Genomic DNA, 18981 nt, shown 5'->3' on the forward strand with positions numbered 1-18981 from the left:
CCTTCGCCCACTTTTTGATAGGGTTGTTTGATTTTTTCTTGTAAATTTGTTTAAGTTCTTTGTAGATTCTGGATATTAGCCCTTTGTCAGATGGGTAGATTGTAAAATTTTTCTCCCATTCTGTAGGTTGCCTGTTCACTCTGATGGTAGTTTCTTTTGCTGTGCAGAAGCTCTTTAGTTTAATTAGATCCTATTTGTCAATTTTGGCTTCTGTTGCCTTTGCTTTTGGTGTTTTAGTCATGAAGTCCTTGTCCATGCCTATGTCCTGAATGGTATTGCCTAGGTTTTCTTCTAGGGTTTTTATGGTTTTAGGTCTAACATTTAAGTCTGTAATCCATGTTGAATCAATTTTTGTATAAGGTGTAAGGAAGGGATCCAGTTTCAGCTTTCCACATATGGCTAGCCAGTTTTCCAGCACCATTTATTAAATAGGGAATTCTTTCCCCATTTCTTGTTTTTGTCAGGTTTGTCAAAGATCAGATGATTGTAGATGTGTGGTATTATTTCTGAGGGCTCTGTTCTGTTCCCTTGGTCTATGTCTCTGTTTTGGTACCAGTACCATGCTATTTTGGTTACTGTAGCCTTGTAGTATAGTTTGAAGTCAGGTAGCAAGATGCCTTCAGCTTTGTTCTTTTGGCTTAGGATTGACTTGGTGATGCGGGCTCTTTTTGGGTTCCATATGAATTTTAAAGTAGTTTTTTCCAGTTCTGTGAAGAAAGTCATTGGTAGCTTGATGGGGATGGCATTGAATCTATAAATTACCTTGGGCAGTATGGCCATTTTCACGATATTGATTCTTCCTATCTATGAGCATGAAATGTTCTTCCATTTGTTTGTGACTTCTTTTATTTTGTTGAGCAGTGGTTTGTAGTTCTCCTTGAAGAGGTCCTTCACATCCCTTGTAAGTTGGATTTCTAGGTATTTTATTCTCTTTGAAGCAATTGTGAATGGAAGTTCACTCATGATTTGGCTCTCTATTTGTCTGTTACTGGTGTCTACCCTTGTGACATAGTGAAAGAGAAACCCACTAGCAACACATTCATCTCTGGTTGGCCTGGAAAATGAAGTACTAGGAAGTTGTTCATTTTCTGTTCTTTATAGAAATAGAATGTTCTCAGGAAAGGGCTTCAATGCTTTAGGGTTGCCATGTTGATCCTTCCAAGCTTAAATGGGGAGACAATGCTCTATTATTCCATTTCTGTTTTTTTCCATTTCAGATATCATGGGAGAATCTTCTAGAACGACCATTCTATCTGGAAGTTCTAACACAGGTAGCCTAACAAGAAGGAAATGTGTCTTACTTAATGTCAAATGTCATGCTATGTCTTTTAGGGCTGCTATGATAAAGTCCCACCTCAGTATCCTCTCCCAGTATTCCAAATTCACAGACTTCACCACTCTTTCTTCCCTCAGAGGCCACAAATTCCATTGAAGAGACTGGTACTTCTGGAACTGGATTCAAAACTGGTGAGAAGAAACAGCCCCTGATTTAGCATCATAAGTATTAGGTCTCTTAAACTTTGCTTGAGAGAGTTTGTGTTTTATTTAGGGATGCTGCAAGTGATTCAAGATAGTTTTGCTGGTGGAGATACAATTTTTTTAATCTAATAATTCCGGAATGGATACTTACAGATTTATGTCTGAGGACGGAATGGAATATTTCCATTTGTATTACAACTGTCACTAGCATTTGAGGTGGAATTCAGAAAGTTTTCCATGGGAGTGTGTGAAATACAAAAGAGCACCATGGACCCAGGACGCATGCATTTATATGTGTGTGCATGCTTACACATTTTCTTGCTTTTTATTTTCTCCTACATCTGATGGTTTCAGCACATTTAAAACATTTCCCCCCTCCTTTCTATCTCACAGCAGGCATCACTGCAGCACCAGGAAAGCAAGCAGGTGAGCATTGGGGAAATCCATCTAGTTTCCCTTTTATCAGACTCCAGAAGTGCCTGAAGCTGAGGGCACTGTCTCTCTATCTGCTCTAGTTGTAAAGTATTGACAGCAGGCAAATGCATCTAGTTCACCAACTGCCATATCCTAAGGGGAAATGACTTCTTTTATAGAAAATAAATATAGTATATCCCTTTTAGATTCAGGTCTTCATTTGACTTACTCATTCACCATGGTCACCTCAATCCCTTTGTGTTTCAGGCACCTCTGGGGTGGCACCTGGCACAACAGTTGCCCCTGGAAGTTTCAGCACAGGTGAGTCCACAATTTGGCACAGAGCCATTTCTTGGATGCTTTCTACAATCATATGTCTTCCCTTTTGCTGCTTCTATGCAAAAGCAGACCATTCCCTTTCTAAATCCCGGAATGTTTTCAATTTTGTTTTGTTTTGTTTTCACTCTCAGCAGCTACAACTTCTCCTGGAGCAAGTGGAGTGACTGGCACTGGACCCACTGCAGGTAAGCCCTGATGAAGCACGACCTGCTTCCCAGTAGACAACATTGCCTGAATCACATCTAATGCTTGTACTTCCTGTGAAGAGTATTTTCAGAATGAGCATTATGAGATTGGCAGGATTTTACCTAATTACCAAATGTGACACTCAGACTCCTTTATCTTCCTTTCCCCTGCTTCAGGGAGACTTCACCATGGAGCTAAGGCACAGAGAATCAGTTGGGTGATTGGAGAGAAATGTCTTTCTTTCTCTCATTGATATCTAAAGGAAGTAATTGAGATAATGAAATTTTTGCCATTAAATTTTCTGAGATAGAAATGGTGCATGGAAAACATATACAGATTCAACTCCTGGGTCTAGAAACGTCTAAAAAAGAGCTTGTTGGCACATTGAGAAAACACAGTTTCCTCACCTTCATCCTCAGCCATTTTCTTTCTTATTTTTATTTTGGGTAAAGAATAAAGATATTGATTCCTTTCACTCTCTAATTCCAAGTTCCAACGCGGTAGCTGCTGGCAATTTTTTTTTTTTTTTTTTTTTTTGAAGACAGGACATCCAAGCAAAGGCAATTTGTGGCCAGCCTTGAGATTGTCCCCACTCCCTCTGGCAAAATTCTTGCACATGAAAATTCTGATACTTAAATCAATGAAAATGATAACAGTAGTGAGTATATCTATTATTGATGAGTTTGTAATATAAACATTTTTATTAAGAGGTTTACATATCTTATTCCAATTAAGAACTACCTAAAGTCTAATTAAGAACTGTATGAGTTAAAATTATTTTATTCCCCATTTAAAAAAGTACACTTGTGTATTCAAGGTTTACATCACTTTTAAAGTCAGAAAAGTTTCTTTTCTAACTTAGTAGGTGGCAAGACATTCTGAATTGGACTCCTCTCATGTAATGATATCACTTAGCTCATCCTTTTTCCTTAACACTCAATTAATTTTGGTTTTCTTTCCATCTTTAAGAGACCACAACTTTCCTAGGAGGAAGTAGCACCACTGGAGCAGAAATAAAATCAGGTGAAGATTATGGGGGTTTCATTATTTACTGTTGTATTTTGATAGATTTGTTAGGGAAAACATTTTCTCAATGAACTTTTTATTTTGGAATAATTTTAAATTATAGAAAGTTTGCATATATTATGCAAAGGATCTCTTTAATGTGGAGTAGAGCTTTTCATTTCCTTTTGAAGCTGTTTCAAAGGAACCAGTATTTCCTTTCAGATTTGGAACAACTTGGGCCCAAATTTCCAAAAGGCTTTTTCTTCTCTAGGACTAGCCTCAGGGTTCAAGGCCTCTAGAGCGGAGAGTTACAGTAGCTGTGACTCTGAAAGGGTTTTTCCTTTGAAAATAACTCAGTATGTGTATCATTGCAGTACTGACTTGTATTTGGCATAGAAATCATTAAGATTTCACATTTTAGTTCAAGGGTAAAAATTCAAAATTTCCTTTCTTCTTTCTTTTTCTCCTTTTTTTTCCTCTTCCTCCTCCTCCTCCTCCTCCTCCTTCTCTCTTTTCCTTTTCATTAGGAGCCACCACTGGAGCACCAGGAAGTAAGACAGGTAAATTTGTAGAAAGCCTTTTATATGACCTTCAATCTTGGCAAAAATGATCAGCAGGCACATTAGCCACTGCATTAACCTTGGCCTTACAAAGGTACATGGTAAACATAGAAAATGCCACCTCCTGTCATTTATAGGTCCAGGAAGTATCTTTTGCTGCTCTAAGGTCCCAGGCAGACATGATGCTGGCCACATTCTTCTAAGGGTTACAAATGTGTCACTCTGTTGATCTTTTCCTTTTCTTTCCTGCCTAGGCACAGCTAAAGTGCTCTCTGGTACGACAGTTGCCTCTGGGAGCTCCAACTCAGGTAAAGCACCAGGCTGGGAGGAACCACTGTTTGGGAAGGGCTCCTCAGTGAGGTGTCTGCCTGGGTGATCCTACCACGCTTTTCTCAGATTCTTCTAATATTTGCCCTCACTGCTATTCTTTTTCCCTTTTTCTCAGAGGCTACAACTTTCTCTGGAATCACTGAAGCAGTAACAGTCCCAAGTAAAAATGGGAAGTTGGTGAAATAGTTCTAACAATTCAAATTGATTGAAATAAATACAGAGTGATCTCCTCTGAAAATCTTTGTCCAAGCCCCCAAATTTCAGAATACTAGTGTTTCACTCTAATTTTTACATTTATAGACAGCAGAATATTCTCTCTCTTTTCTCTTCTACAGGATCTATGACCACTGCACTGGGGAGCCAACTCTCCAGCAGTCAAACAGGTGAGCATGGGAAAGTATGAATAGCTGCCTGATATTTACCAGTACTCAGAGAATAAGGATACTTCTAATATGAGAGCTTAGCCTTTGCTTTTTTTAATCTTTTTTGGAATGAAGTATCCTTGTTGAAAGGTGTATGAGGAATTCTGGAATAGGCCCTCTGAGTTAACAAAAAACATAATGTTTTTCTTCTAATCCTTCTGTTAATGTAAATTAAATGACATAAGTTTCTTCCTCTTAGTGATTCCAGGTTCCAGTGGCACCATCTCTCACACAACTGTTGCACCTGGAAGTTCTGTTACAGGTAAGTGAATATTTTCAGTGGCAGTCATCACTTGTTTAATTTCAAGGAGGAATATGTAAACCCAAACATCTTTTCTGCTTCATTTCCTCTTCCAGAGGCCAAAGCTTCCTTAGAAGCCATTAGAGTCACTGTTGTGAAATCACTGAGAACTAGGGGTCTCGGAGGTTAGCATAGCCATTGAGTTGTGTCATGAGTTTGCTTCTGGATCTGAAAGATTATCATGTAGGGAGGGCAGGTGCTCCCATCCATTCCCCTGAGCTGGCTTCTGAACCAGCCTTTTCCAATGACTGGCCTTAGGACATAGATTTCTGGAGAGGGTAGTAGGAGCTGTAATTCCCTGGACTATTAACCCAGTGGATATTATAGGTATTACTACAGAATCTGCAGGAGTCAAGACTGGCCCAGAAGGTTCTGTCTCAGGTGAACAGATGACTAAAATGAACCAGCAATTGCTTTCCATCCTGAGCTTTAAATATTAAGTTGCTGAATGGTTTCCTCAGTGATTGATTACATGTCAAAACATACTCAGAATCTTTTTTCCTACTTTCAATCATTAGGAACCACCACTGGTGCATCAGATGATCAAGTCACTGGAAGTAAAACAGGTAAATATGTTAAAGAAATTATTTTGTCTCACATTTGAGGGTTTTATATTATATGTGCTAGGTAAGCCTACTGAAAGATAGGCTTCTTGAGAAAAAAGTCTCTGTTTACTGATCCCTAGTACTAAACAGGGCTCAATAAATGTTTACTGAAGGAACAAAATAATTAAAATATAGGAAAAATACATAATTCAATCCAGGAGCAAAAAGGTCAGTGGAAGAACATGCTAATAGAACAGCCACATGGACAAACTACTCTGTGTCAATGGTGCCTCCCGGAGCTGGCCAGTGCACAATAAGAGTGATATGGCCCTGGAAATACAGATTTATTTTATACCTAGACTGCCTCCATGCAAAAGAATCTTCATGATGACACCATAGCCTTCTCATTTCAGGCACTACTGGTGTGGCCTTGAGCACAACTGTTGCACCTGGAAGTTCCAGTACAGGTAGGCTAACAAGCTGAGAAGAAAGCTCCCTTTCTGGAAATAAGATGGCAAAAATGTCTTTCACATTGCTCTTCTTCTATAAGAGCATCACAGTGTATTTCCCCGTCCTTCTAAGTCCTCATCCTTTACGCATTGCTTCTCTTTTTCTTCCAGAAGCCACAACTTCCACAGGAGTCCATAGAACCACTGTAGTGGGACAGAAGACAGGTGAGAATTAATGGTGTGTGCGTGTGTGTGTGTGCATGCATGTATGACTTTTGAGTGATAATAAATTACAATTATAATTTGCTTCTTAATAGGATAGTTTTTCGAGGAGGAGTTTTTGAGGAACTCTCATCTAAGATCAGCATTTTGTTACTTGATTTTGAATTAACTTGGGCAGATTTCCTTCTATTTCCAGGGCCAAGCCTCACATATATGTCTCTGCAAATGAGAGTGAAAGTGATAATTGTATGAAAAGTTTTCTTTATACATTTTAGTTATCTCCATTTTAGGTATATCAGAAAAATTAATTACTGGCTCAGAGGGTTCTATTTCAGGTCAACAGAAGGCCAAAATGCACACAGATTTGCCTCGAACGATATATTTTTCCTTGAGCACAATAATGACTGAAATGTACAGTAGTTATCTCTATAACTCTAGTCTACCTTTATATTAAAAAGTTTTTCTATTTTTATCCTTTTAGGAGCTACCACTAGAGGGTCAGCAAAGCAAGGAACTAGAAGCACAATAGGTAAATATGGCAGGAAAGAAAGCCACTTGTCTTACTGCCATTGAATTCCAGAAAAATTGAGTCCTCTGTTGAGGAATTTGCATCTTTATTTGATTTGGGAATAAAACTATGCATGAGAAAACACAGGCCGGGCATGGTGGCTCACACCTGTAATTCCAGCACTTTGGGAGGCTGAGGTGGGTGAATCACCTGAGGTCAGGAGTTTGAGACCAGTCTGACCAACGTGGTGAAACCTCTTCTCTACTAAAAATACAAAAATTAGCCAGCTGTGGTGGCATAAACCTGTAATTCCAGCTATTCAGGAGGCTGAGGCAGGAGGATCACTTGAACCTGGATGGAGGTTGCAGTGAGAGATAGCACCATTGCACTCCAGCCTGGGTGACAGAGAGAGACTAGGGTAGCTTCTGGCAACACATCTAAACCTGGGAGTTCAAATACAGGTGAGCCAGCCAGCTGGTGAGAGTCCTCCACAGAACAGTTTAGTAGTAAAGTGCCTCCCATGGCTCTGTTATTAAGAATAGTGCATCCTTCACTTTCCTCACAATGCTAATTCCTCTCACCTCATATTTTCCTACCTTTCCTCTCTAAGAAGCTACGACGTCCTTTAGAGGCACTGGGACCACAGGAAGTGGAATGAATACAGGTGAGCACACAAGCTTCCTAACCTGCTCACTTTTCACTTAAAATAAAAGCAATAGTAGCTAACACTTTCTAGCATGAACTATGTTCCAGGCACTACTACACATTTTTCTCATTATTATTTCTTTTATCCCTCATCCCAAATTGTGAGGTAAGCACTATTGTTCTCACAGACTTTCCAGGTGAGAAAACCTATGGCTCGAAGATATTCACTAACTGAATGAAGATCACGCAGCGATTAAACAACAGATTTCAACTCAGGCGCTCTGGCTTCAAAATCCATCCTCTTAACCATGATACTAAATCACCACTACACTATACCACTACACTCTTTTGTCATGCCTCAACTCATCTAGAACACTACAATTTCTACAACACCAATATTTTGCCCAAATGAAAATTCAACAGGTAATCAGTCCTGCTTTGTTCCTTCTTCTAGGGGTATCAGGTAGCCAAGTCACTAGCATTCAACTAGGTAAATAAAGTACCTTTGTTTTACTGACATTGAGCCCAGAAAAAGAGACGTTCTCATTGAGACTCCACCACCACCTCACATTGCACCCTTCCCCCACCAAGTTTATAGTGAGAATGGAGCATTACATTTGCAAACACAGAAACTAACTTTGGAACAAGCTATCCCTGAAAATGTTCTTTTTGCATAATGAAGAATTCTGAGGTTGCCTCATTCTATTATAGAATGTGCTTTTATTATAAGAATAAAATTGATATAGTAGTACCCTTCCATTTTGTTTTTAGGTACTACTGGAGTGGTCTCTGGCAACACCATCTCACCTAGCAGTTTCAACACAGGTGAGTCAATGAGGAAACAGATGCTGTTGGTTTTTTTTTTTTTTTGGTTGGGGGCTAACTGCAGCAATGGTACATTATATCTTTTGATGATTTTCTGTTAGCCCTCACTACTTTCTTCCTTTTTATTCTCAGAAGATATAACTTCCATGGAAGGAAGCATAACCAATGAAAGTGGAATTGGCAAATATATATATATATATATATATATATATACCCACACACATAAATATATATGCATATATTAACATACATGAGAAAAAATGAGAAATGAGAAAAAAATAACAAATATATATATATATAATTTTTTTCTTGAGACAGTCTCACTCTGTTGCCGAGGCTGGAGTGCAGTGGTGTGATCTCAGCCTACTGCAAATTCCACCTCCAGGGTTCAAGCAATTCTCTTACCTCAGCCACCTAAGTAGCTGGGATTACAGGTGTGCACCACCACACCCAGCTATTTTTTTTTTTTTTTTGTATTTTTAGTAGAGATGGGGTTTCACTGTGTTGGCCAAGCTGGTCTTGAACTCCGGGCCTCAAGTGATCTGCCTGCTTTGGCCTCCCAATGTTCTGGGATAACAGGCGTGAGCCACTGCGCCTGGCCAAAGAATTGGCAACTCCTGAGTTCCCACAAATCTACATTGGGCTTTTGCCTTTTCATAGAGATATTTGTTAAACAAAGCTTGTATTTATAAAAATTGTATCATTTATCCTGGGGCCAAACCTTATACTAAAATTATAGAAAAAGAGGCTCAGAGTCCAGAAATATTCCCCTTTTAACATTCAAGCTATTACCCCAGTACCTACAGAGGCAATATAAATCCATATAGTTCTATTTAAGGCAGCAGAGATGATAGAAGTTACTCTGGAGGTTTAGATGTGTCATACTTTGGAATTCGGATATTATAAGTTTATTGAATGCAGTTGAATACCTTTACACAAATATTGTTTTCATTTCTTTTCATTAGAAGCTACCAGTGGCACATCTGAGAGGCCAAACCCTGGAAGTGAAATAGGTAAGCGTGAAAAAGACCCCAAAACCTCTGACATTTAACTCTAAGGAGCCAAATAATCAAGGCTGGACTACAACCTAATGTGTTTACTGTGAGTCTGAATTTAAAAATGGAGAGCACACTTCATGGTGACAGGATAGCACAAGAAAGATCTTTTGCTGCTTTCAAGTCACAGACAGTCATTGTTGTCCATGCTCTTCTTGGGATGGTAAATGCATCACAATTTGGGTTCTCTTTCTCTCTCCCTGCTTTAGGCACCACTGGCATAGTCTCTGGCACAACAGTTGCACCTGGAAGTTCCAACACAGGTAACCTAATAGGGAATATAAGGGGCTTCAGTCATGGAATATGACTGATTCCCTCCCCGCAAACATACACACTCCCTGCCATACCCTGGGAATACCACTGGATTTTCTCAGTTATAGGATTCTTCTGAATTTACTTCTTTTCTCCCTTCACTTAGAAGCCACAACTTCTTTGGGCAATGGTGGAACCACTGAGGCTGGAAGTAAAATAGGTGGGCACTGGCAATCAAATGATTATTTTTTCTTTTCATCTTAAAGTAAATCAAATTGGCTATAATGAACTTAGTGGACATTTTCCTCAATCATTGAGTACAAATTACCAGGATATAAATAGTTTACTCCTTGTGAATTGCAGGTTACGTATTTGCAATACAATGACATCATGAGACCATGCATTATGTATCACTTAAAGCAAGAAAGTTCCTGATAAACCTTTTAGTTCACTTGAGAAACCTATGATTTTTTTTTCTAAACCAAATCCTAATTTTAGATGAAAAGGAATTCATAAATTGATTATCTCCTCTTGTGATTGCAGTTACCACTGGGATAACTACTGGCACGACCATTGTACCTGGGAGTTTCAACACAAGTGAGTCATGAAAGAGTTGGAGAAACCTGCCTACATGAACTTCTGGGGACCTGATGGCTCCCATAGGGATATTACATAAAGTAAGACTGTTACACATTTTTCCAAATGTCTGCATTCTATATCACTTTCTCCTATTTCTCCTCAGAGGCTACCACTTCTACAGACGTTGGAGTTGCCACTGGAGTTGGAATGGCAACTGGTGAGTGGTTTGTTTTGGGTTCTCAACAGTTCTTTGCTTAAGTTTGTGGTAGTGATGAATGAATGGAAAGATGAGCTGAAATAGGATTTTGTATTTCACTTGAAGAGACATGTCAGGTAAATCAAGATTGGGCCCTTGCTCTTCAGATTGATTTTCTCCATACACTAGTCTTTTTTTTATTTTTTTAATTTTTTCAACTTTTATTTTAGATGTGGGGGTGGGGGTACATGTGTAGGTTTGTTACATGTCCTGAATGTATTGCATGATGCTTAGGTTTGGAGTATGAATGATCCTGTCACCCAGGTACTGAGCAGAGTACCCAACAGTCAATTTTTCAATGCCCCCTTCTTCCTCCCCTTTATAGTGGTCCCCAGTGTCTATTGTTGCTATCCATATATCCATGAGTATCCAGTGTTTAGCTCCCACTTATAAGTAAGAACATACAGTATTTGTTTTTCTGTTCCTGCATTAATTCACTTAGGATAATGGCCTCCAGCTGCATCTCCAGCTCCATCCGTGTTGCTGCAAAGGACATAATTTTGTTCTTTCTTATGGTTGTATAATATTCCATGGTGTGTATATACTACATTTTAAAAATCCAGTCCATCATTGATGGGCATCTAGGTTGATTCCATGTCTTTGCTATTGCGAGTAATGCTGCGATGAAAATGCAAATGCATGTGTCTTTTTGGTAGAAAAATTTGTTTTCTTTTGGATAGGTACCCACTAATGGGATTGTTGGGTCAGACGGTGGGGTTCTGTTTTAAGTTCTTTGGGAAATCTCCAGACTGCTTTCCATAGTGTCTGGATTAATTTACATCCACATCAACAATGAATAAACATTCCCTTTTCTCTGCAGCCTTACCAGCATCTGTTTTTTGACTTTTTCATAACAGCCAGTCTGACTGGTATGAGATGGTATTTCATTGTGGTTTTGATTTGCACTTCTCTAATGATTAGTAATGTTGAGAAATTTTTCATATGCTTGTTGGCTATGTGTATGCCTTCTTATGAAAAATAACTCTTCATGTCCTTTGCCCACTTTTTAATAGGGTTGTTTTTTGCTGGCTAATTTGTTTACATTCCTTGTAGATTCTGGATATTAGATCTTTGTCAGGTGCATAGTTTGCAAGTATTTTCTTCCATTCTGTAGGTTGTCTGTTAACCTGTTGATAGTTTCTTTTGCTGTGCAGAAGTTCTTTAGTTGAATTAGGTTCCATTTGTCAAATTTTGTTTTTGTTGCAATTGTTTTTCGCATCTTTGTCATGAAATCTTTGCCAGGGCCTGTATCCAAAATGATATTTCCTAGGTTATATTCCAGGGTTTTCATAATTTTAGGTTTTGCATAAAAGCCTTTAATCTGTCTTGAGTTGATTTTTGTATCTGATGTAAGGAAAGGGGTTCAGCTTCAATCTCCTGCATGACTAGCCAGTTATGCCAGCACCATTTATTGAACAGGGAGTCATTTCCTCATTGCTTGTTTTTGTTGGCTTTGTCGAAGATCTAATGGTTGTAGTTGTAGGTGTATAGCATAATATCTGGGCTCTCTATTCTGTTCCATTGGTTTGTGTGTCTGTTTTTGTACCAGTACCATGCTGTTTTGGTTACTGTAGCATTGTAATATAGTTCGAAGTTGGGTAATGTTATACCTCTAGTTTTGTTGTTTTTGCTTAGGATTGCCTTGGTTATTCAAGCTGTTTTTTGGTTCCATATGAATTTTTAAAAACCTTTTTTTTTCTAATTTTGTGAAGAATGTCATTGGTAGATTTAAATAGCATTGAATCTGTAAATTGCTTTGGGCAGTATGGCCATTTTAATAATATTAATTCTTCCTATCCATGAACATAAAATCTTTTTCTATTTGTTTGTATCATCTCTGATTTCTTTCAGCAGTGTTTTGTAATTCTTATTATTGGGCTGTTTTGCCTCCCTGGTTAGCTGTATTCCTAGGTAATTTATTTTTGTGGCTATTGTGAATAGGATTGTGTTTTTAGATGTGGCTCTCAGCCTTGATGTTGTTGATGTATAAAATGCTACTAATCTTTGGACACTTATTTTGTGTCCTGAAACTTGGCTGAAGTTATTTATCAGGTCTACGAGCTTTTGGGCAGATACTATGGGGCTTTCTAGATATAGAATCATATTTTCTGCAAACAAAGATAGTTTGACTTATTTCCTTCCTATTCTGATGCCTTTTATTTATTTCTCTGGTCTGATTGCTCTGGCTAGGACTTCTAGTACCATGGTGAATATGAGTGGGGAAAGTTGGCATCCTTGTCTTATTCCAGTTCTCAAGAGGAATGCTTCCAGCTTTTGCCAATTCAGTGTGATGTTGGCTGTGGATTTGTCATAGATGACTCATTATTTTGAGGTATGTTCCTTCAATACCTAGTGTTTTATGGGTTTTTAACATAAAGGGATATTGAATATTATCAAAAGCCTTTTCTGCATCTATTGAGATGATCGTGTGGTTTTTGTTTTTAGCTCTGTTTATGTGGTAAATCACATTTATTGGTTTGTGTATGTTGATCCAACCTTGCATCCCAGGGATAAAGCCTACTTGATCATGGTGGATTAGCTTTTTGATATGCTGCTGGATTTAGTTGGCTAGTATTTTGTTGAGAATTTTTGCATCATATCAAGGTTATTGTCTTGAAGTTTTCTTTTTTGTCGTGTCTCTATCAGGTTTTGGTATCAGAATGATGCTGGCCTCATAGAATGTGTTAGGGAGGCATGTCTCCTTCCCAATTTTTTGGAATAGTTTCATTAGGAATGGTACCATCTCTTCTTTATTCATCTGGTAGTATTCAGCTGTGAATCTGTCTGGTCCTGGGCTTTTTCTGGTTGGCAGTCTTTTGATTACTGATTCAATTTCAGAACTCTTTATTGGTCTGTCTAGGAATTTAATTTCTTCCTTGTTCAATCTTGGGAGGTTATATATTTCCAGGAATTTATTCATTTCTTTCAGGTTTTCTAGTTTGTGTATATAGATGCATTTGTGGTAGTCTCTGAGAGTTTTTTTTTGTTGTTGCTGTTTTTGTTGTTTTTTGGTAATTCTATGGAGTCAGTGGTAGTATTTCCTTTGTCATGTCCGATTGTGTTTATCTGGATCTTCTTTATTAGTCTAGATGGCCGTCTATCAATTTTAATTATTCTTTCAAGAAACAAACTCCTAGATTCATTGATATCTTGTATGGTTTTTCACATCTTAATTTTTTTTTCAGTTCAGCTGTGATTTTTGTTATTTCCTGTCTTCTGCTAGTTTTGAGGTTGGTTTGCTTTTGTTTCTCTAGTACCTGTAGGTGTGATGTTAGGTTGTTACTTTAAGAGCTTTCTAACATTTTGATGTGGGCATTTGGCACTATAAACTTCCCTCTTAACACTGCTTTAGCTGTGACCCAGAGATTCTGGTATGCTGTATGTTTAAAAAATATGGAATGCCTCACGAATTTTTGTGTCATCCTTATACTAGGGCCATGCTAATATTCTCTGTATCACCCCAATTTTAGTATATGTGCTGCTGAAGTGAGCACAATAATTTCTTTGTTAGTTTTCTGCCCTGATGATCAATCTAATGCTGTCAGTAGGGTGTTGGAGTCCCCACGATTACTGTGCAGCTGTCTTTTTGTGGGTCTAGAAGTACTTGCATTATGAATCTGGATATTCCAATGCTGGGTGCATATATGTCTAGAATAGTTAATTCTTCTTCTTGAATCAAACACTTTATCACTATGTAATGCTCTTCTTTGTCCTTTTTTGCTGTTGTTGGTTTAAAGTCCTTTATGTAAGAATAGCAACTTCTGATCTTTTTTGCTTTCCTTTTGCATTGTAGATCCTTCTTTCTTTATTTTGACTCTGTGGGTATAATTACATGTGAGATGGAGCTCTTGAAGACAGCAGATGGATGGCTCTTGTTTTTGTTTGTTTGTTTTTGTTTATTTCCAACTTGCCACTCCACACCAGCTTTTTAGATGTGATTTTTATGAAACTAAGAATGATATGTTATTCTGAATCCTTTATCCATCTTGCCTTCATATGGTCAGCTGGAGTTTTCAAGAGCCTAGAAAATGCCAGTCTTGGTTAGTAAAAGTGTTTAATTTGCCCATCTTGGACTTCTATTGCATATTAAACCTATTCTCATGGGTTTATCCTCATGACTAAGGTTCCAAGAAATTTAATTAAAAAAAATTCACCCCCACACTTCCAAGAAGTCCCTATGAAACGTGAGGGAGCAACACCACAGGAATTAAAACTGAGGAGCAAAGGAAAAGCACTTCTTTCCAAAGTATTTAACCACAGCAAAAGGGCTCCAGAATAGAGTTTTGCCACAGTTGAGGAAGCCTAGGAGAAAGTACGGTTTTTGTTTCTCTTTGCATAGAGAAGCCCTTGGATGGCTTATAAGAAATGTGAATTTTTCCAAGTCTATGCTGTTCTCTGGGTTAAAAAAAAAGTCATTACTATGATCTCTGTCTCTCTTGATCTCTCTCTCTCTGTTTTACTATCTTTCCCTCAATTTCATTTTCATTTCAAATCCCCTGGAATATCTTCTTTCATCACACTTGCTGGAAGTTTCGACAGGGATTAGTCAAAGTTACAAAAGAAAGCTGTCTCTGAGTACCTCAGGCAAAAGGCCATCTTCTTTGAGAATATTTCTTCTACTATAACATGAAATATTTTCCAGATTTCAAAATTAAGTCATCTCAACTTCTTCCTCTACTACCAGGAACTACAACTTCATTACTGAACAATACCACTATTAGAAATTAATTACAAACAGGGGATTTCATTAATTACTAGTGAAATTTAGGCCCTGATAGGAGATGATAAAACTTTTCATTTGAAGACTTATTGAAGTCCGTTGAAGGTAGTCATATTAATGCTGTGGAATACCCTGAACTAAAGATTTAATTTGAAACATCATTGTTAGGACATAGCTTCCCAGAAGTAGATACCTAAATGGGGACAGGAATTTTTTTAAGTAAAGTATTTCCACACTTGTCTTTGCTAATACTACTGTCATATCAAATAAAGTCACCACTAACCAAGAATTCCAGGCTGGATAAATAAAAGATGACTGAAATAAGCTTAAGACATCTTGGGGGTCTTTTGTTTACTTGAAAGAATTAGGACAGAAAAGAATATTTTCTCTTTTCTATTAAAATGTCTGGGGGATGTAAAACAATATGGAATTTTCAGGGAAGTATATAATACAATAATACAATATACTTGTGGAAAACAACCCAGATGTTGAGAGAACATTGAAAGAGGGAATGTTGGGAAGATTTTAGAGCTTCTAGATTGCAAAGTTGGGACAGAAATATCATGAAATGAAGAAAAAAAGATCACTCATCAATTCTATATTCTATAAGAATATTATAATATTGGCCTCAATTATAACACAAAAAATTAAAAAGTTGATTCCATGGGCAATGAGAAGGGATTTTTAAAGAGGTTAATTATCATGCCCAGGTTGGATTCTTTGGGAAGATTAATTTGTCACAGGTAGCAGATTGATATGAAAGGAGAGTAAGAATAAGGGTGGAGGTATGTTGTATAGTTTGAAGTCTCTTGGAAGTGACAGATGATTAGGGACTGAAATAAGCTAGTCGTAAGGGGATGCAGAGGCGGAAAGAGTGTGCAAGATGTTGGCCAGTTAGAATCAACAAGTGTGGCTGAGGAGATAAAGGAGAGGAATAAATTTAGATGACTCCTAGTTCATGATTTGAGTGCTTGGGTGGATAGATGATGGTGCCATCTACCAAGTTTGGGAATATACTAGAGGAATTAAAAATAATATTTGATAGATGATACAGTATGGTCTGATTTTTATCGTTTGAGTTCAAATTACTCTGAGGTTTCCAGGTAGTGATGTCCAGAAGAGTTGATGAAGGTGACTGAGGCCCAGAAGAGAAGCCTATACTGGAATAGAGAATTGTCAGTCATTTGCTTACAAATAATATTTGAAACTTTGGGTACTGATGAGTTATTTAGGGTTACATTAGCCCTAAATAACCCACTGTATGTTATTTACATACAGGGAGAAGAGAAAACAGACAAAGATAGTCCTTGGGCTCTCCAGGACCTAAAGGGTGGACACAGGCAAAGAGCCTGAAAAGGAGAGGAGTTCTGGTTTAGCAATTTCCAATGTGTTTGACTTAGCACTGTGTACTGAAGTACTGGGATATACCACATTATACCAGGAGACCATATTGCCTCTAATTTTGGGATTCAGAATCTCAAACAGGATCAGCCAGAATTTGCTGGGGATGTGTTTTTTTAATATTTCATTTTTTCAGAGAACCTAGCCTCATAGTTATGAAACTTTGAAAGTAGAAAGTAGAAGGGGAAAATCTCTCTTGAAAGAATTAAAATATCAAGATTCTCAATCCTTTTCATTTTTTAAACTTTAGGGATCACCAACATAATTTCAGGGAGAAGCCAACCTACTGGAAGTAAAACAGGTGAGCGTGGGGAATTGAAAAAGGTGAGGATGGGAAAGGCCCTCGTTCATGATACTAACTTGGAAAAGAGGGATCCCAGAGGACTGAAGCTATCCAAAATGAATACTATAAAACAGGGAAAACCATGTTTAATTTACCTCTTGGGAAAGGAATCCTGGAGAAGGAATGCATTGTTTCACAGAAACACATGGATTTGTTCTAAACCATGATTTCGATCCTATAAAACACTGCTCATATTACCCCCTCTTCTTTCAACATCTCATCCCAGGCTACACTGTAACAGGCTCTGGAACAACAGCCTTACCTGGAGGTTTCAGAACAGGTAAGTCAAGTCGTAAAAGGAATTCTCCTTTAAATGGCTCTCAGTTAAGCAGTGTAATTGGATTGTTTGCAGCTCAGTGGATGGATACCCCATTCTTATTGATGTTCTTATTTCACATTGCACCCCTGTATCAAAACATCTCATGTACCCCATAAATATATACATCTACTATGTATGCACAAAATTTAAAAATATTAATAAAAATAATAAATGCTCTCAAAACAACGTCATCTATTGCCATATCATTTTCATGTTGACAGATTCTCCATCTTTTCCACTTTTCTTGATTTGCTCTTACAGAGGCCACAACTTTTAAAGGTGATGTTGGAACCACTGAAGCAGAAATTTCATCAGGTGAGTTTTTTCACATTTTGGATTCTCCATGATGTTTCCATTTGAGTTTACTATGTACAGATTTTGAATGAAAATGAATGTGGCTGGAAAGTGGTTGCTTACCCTTTAATAAGAGATCATGAGGCCAACCTAGATCAATTCTATGAATTTTCCAAGATATATTGTAGATGTGTTAATAATTCTCTAGACACATTCTTTCTTTACTCCCTTTGTCTTGTCAGGCAATACCCCAGGATCAACGGGAGTCACCAGCAGCCAAGAAGGTGAGATTACTATGATGGATGCAGGTAATTTTGCTGATTAAGAGATTACTCAATCGATGCAGGTAATTGTGCTGATTAAGGCTTTGATTTAGATATTTAACCTTTGATCACAAGTTTAGACACACTTTGTTGTCTGGTTTTCTTTCCCTGGAGAACTTGTCCCTTTTCTTACATTTACTTTAGAAATCTTTACTGGAGGTAAATCATGTGCATATAAGAAAAACATTCTCAAATTTAGTAATTGAAGTCTGGATGATTCTGGATCTAGAGAAGTGAGATCTATGAGGCAATTGTGACTTTCCTCCCCCATGTTTCCCTTGAACATACAATTATGAAAGAGTCCATTGGAAAACATGCCAGGCTTAACATTTGGTGCAAGAAAACTTGTTAAATTGTTTTCTGTTGCTTCAGAGAAACGAGGCTATGTGGAAAAGCCATACATTTCTGATGATGGGAAAGGTGTTGTGTCCTTCCCTCTTATTACAGGCACCACTGAGGTAGCCTCTAGCATAAATATTTCTGGAAGCTCAAACACAGGTATGTAAATATTTAGTAGGTAGCTGTAAGAACCTAAGGCTAGAAAACTAAGATCCCTTCTGTGGAACTGACTGTAGCATCCACACATCAATTGCCTACCTCATTCTTCTTTGCCTTTCTTAGGGTTAATGAGTGTCTGTCAGTGGTAAAATCTGTTTAACTCCACTGGGTTCTCATTAATGACTCCTATCCATTGCTTCAGCATAGGGAAATATTGGGGGTAAAGATAAGACTCAGGAAGTCCCATTAGGGAATTTACATTTCCTAGCCATCTATGGTTGTTTTCTTGTTTTGGGGTTTCTCAGGCTCATGCCAGAGTCCCCAGGTCAGGCTGTGAAGGCACACAGGGCACCACTAAAGGAGAGAGCAGACACTGAAATCCATGAATTCTCATCTGGCCAGAGGAGTTATTTGTGTGTCTGTAATTCACAAGGTGCCCTGTGGGCTAGCTGCAGCACTGACCCAGAAAGTCATCTGATTTGCTTTCTCTTCCTCATGTTTATCTCTGAGGATAGGAATAAGGGCTGTGGCTGATATGAATTTGCCCTCATTTTCCTTTGCAGGAACCACTGTGGTATCAAGTGGAATCACTGGAATCCCAGAAACTTCCATCTCAGGTAATAGAAATTATTGTCTCAAATGAAGATTACATGCTCAACATTTCTCTGTCTTTAACACAAAAGTAAATACTTTTTACAAAGTAAATACAGA

The 18981-nt window shown here is 38.0% G+C and overlaps 1 protein-coding gene and 1 pseudogene across 1 annotated transcript in view; one reads left to right on the forward strand and one right to left on the reverse strand.

Annotated features, from left to right (window-relative positions):
- MUC19 (mucin 19, oligomeric (gene/pseudogene)) overlaps positions 1-18981 on the forward strand; it is a gene marked incomplete in the record, with an annotated part of 177364 nt that overhangs the window by 147008 nt on the left and 11375 nt on the right. The window contains 26 exon segments of the mRNA NM_173600.2: positions 1218-1271; positions 1414-1467; positions 1873-1905; positions 2161-2214; positions 2364-2417; positions 3388-3441; positions 3951-3983; positions 4238-4291; positions 4429-4482; positions 4649-4696; positions 4935-4997; positions 5555-5602; positions 5995-6048; positions 6202-6255; positions 6734-6781; positions 7371-7424; positions 8177-8230; positions 9196-9243; positions 9495-9548; positions 9704-9757; positions 10081-10134; positions 10280-10333; positions 16744-16794; positions 17063-17116; positions 17692-17733; positions 18834-18887. Of these exon segments, the coding sequence (NP_775871.2) occupies positions 1218-1271; positions 1414-1467; positions 1873-1905; positions 2161-2214; positions 2364-2417; positions 3388-3441; positions 3951-3983; positions 4238-4291; positions 4429-4482; positions 4649-4696; positions 4935-4997; positions 5555-5602; positions 5995-6048; positions 6202-6255; positions 6734-6781; positions 7371-7424; positions 8177-8230; positions 9196-9243; positions 9495-9548; positions 9704-9757; positions 10081-10134; positions 10280-10333; positions 16744-16794; positions 17063-17116; positions 17692-17733; positions 18834-18887 (1332 nt within the window).
- Positions 13760-13866, reverse strand: RNU6-713P (RNA, U6 small nuclear 713, pseudogene; annotated as a pseudogene).

Source organism: Homo sapiens, chromosome 12 (genome assembly GCF_000001405.40).
Source record: "Homo sapiens chromosome 12, GRCh38.p14 Primary Assembly".
NCBI lineage: Eukaryota > Metazoa > Chordata > Mammalia > Primates > Hominidae > Homo > Homo sapiens.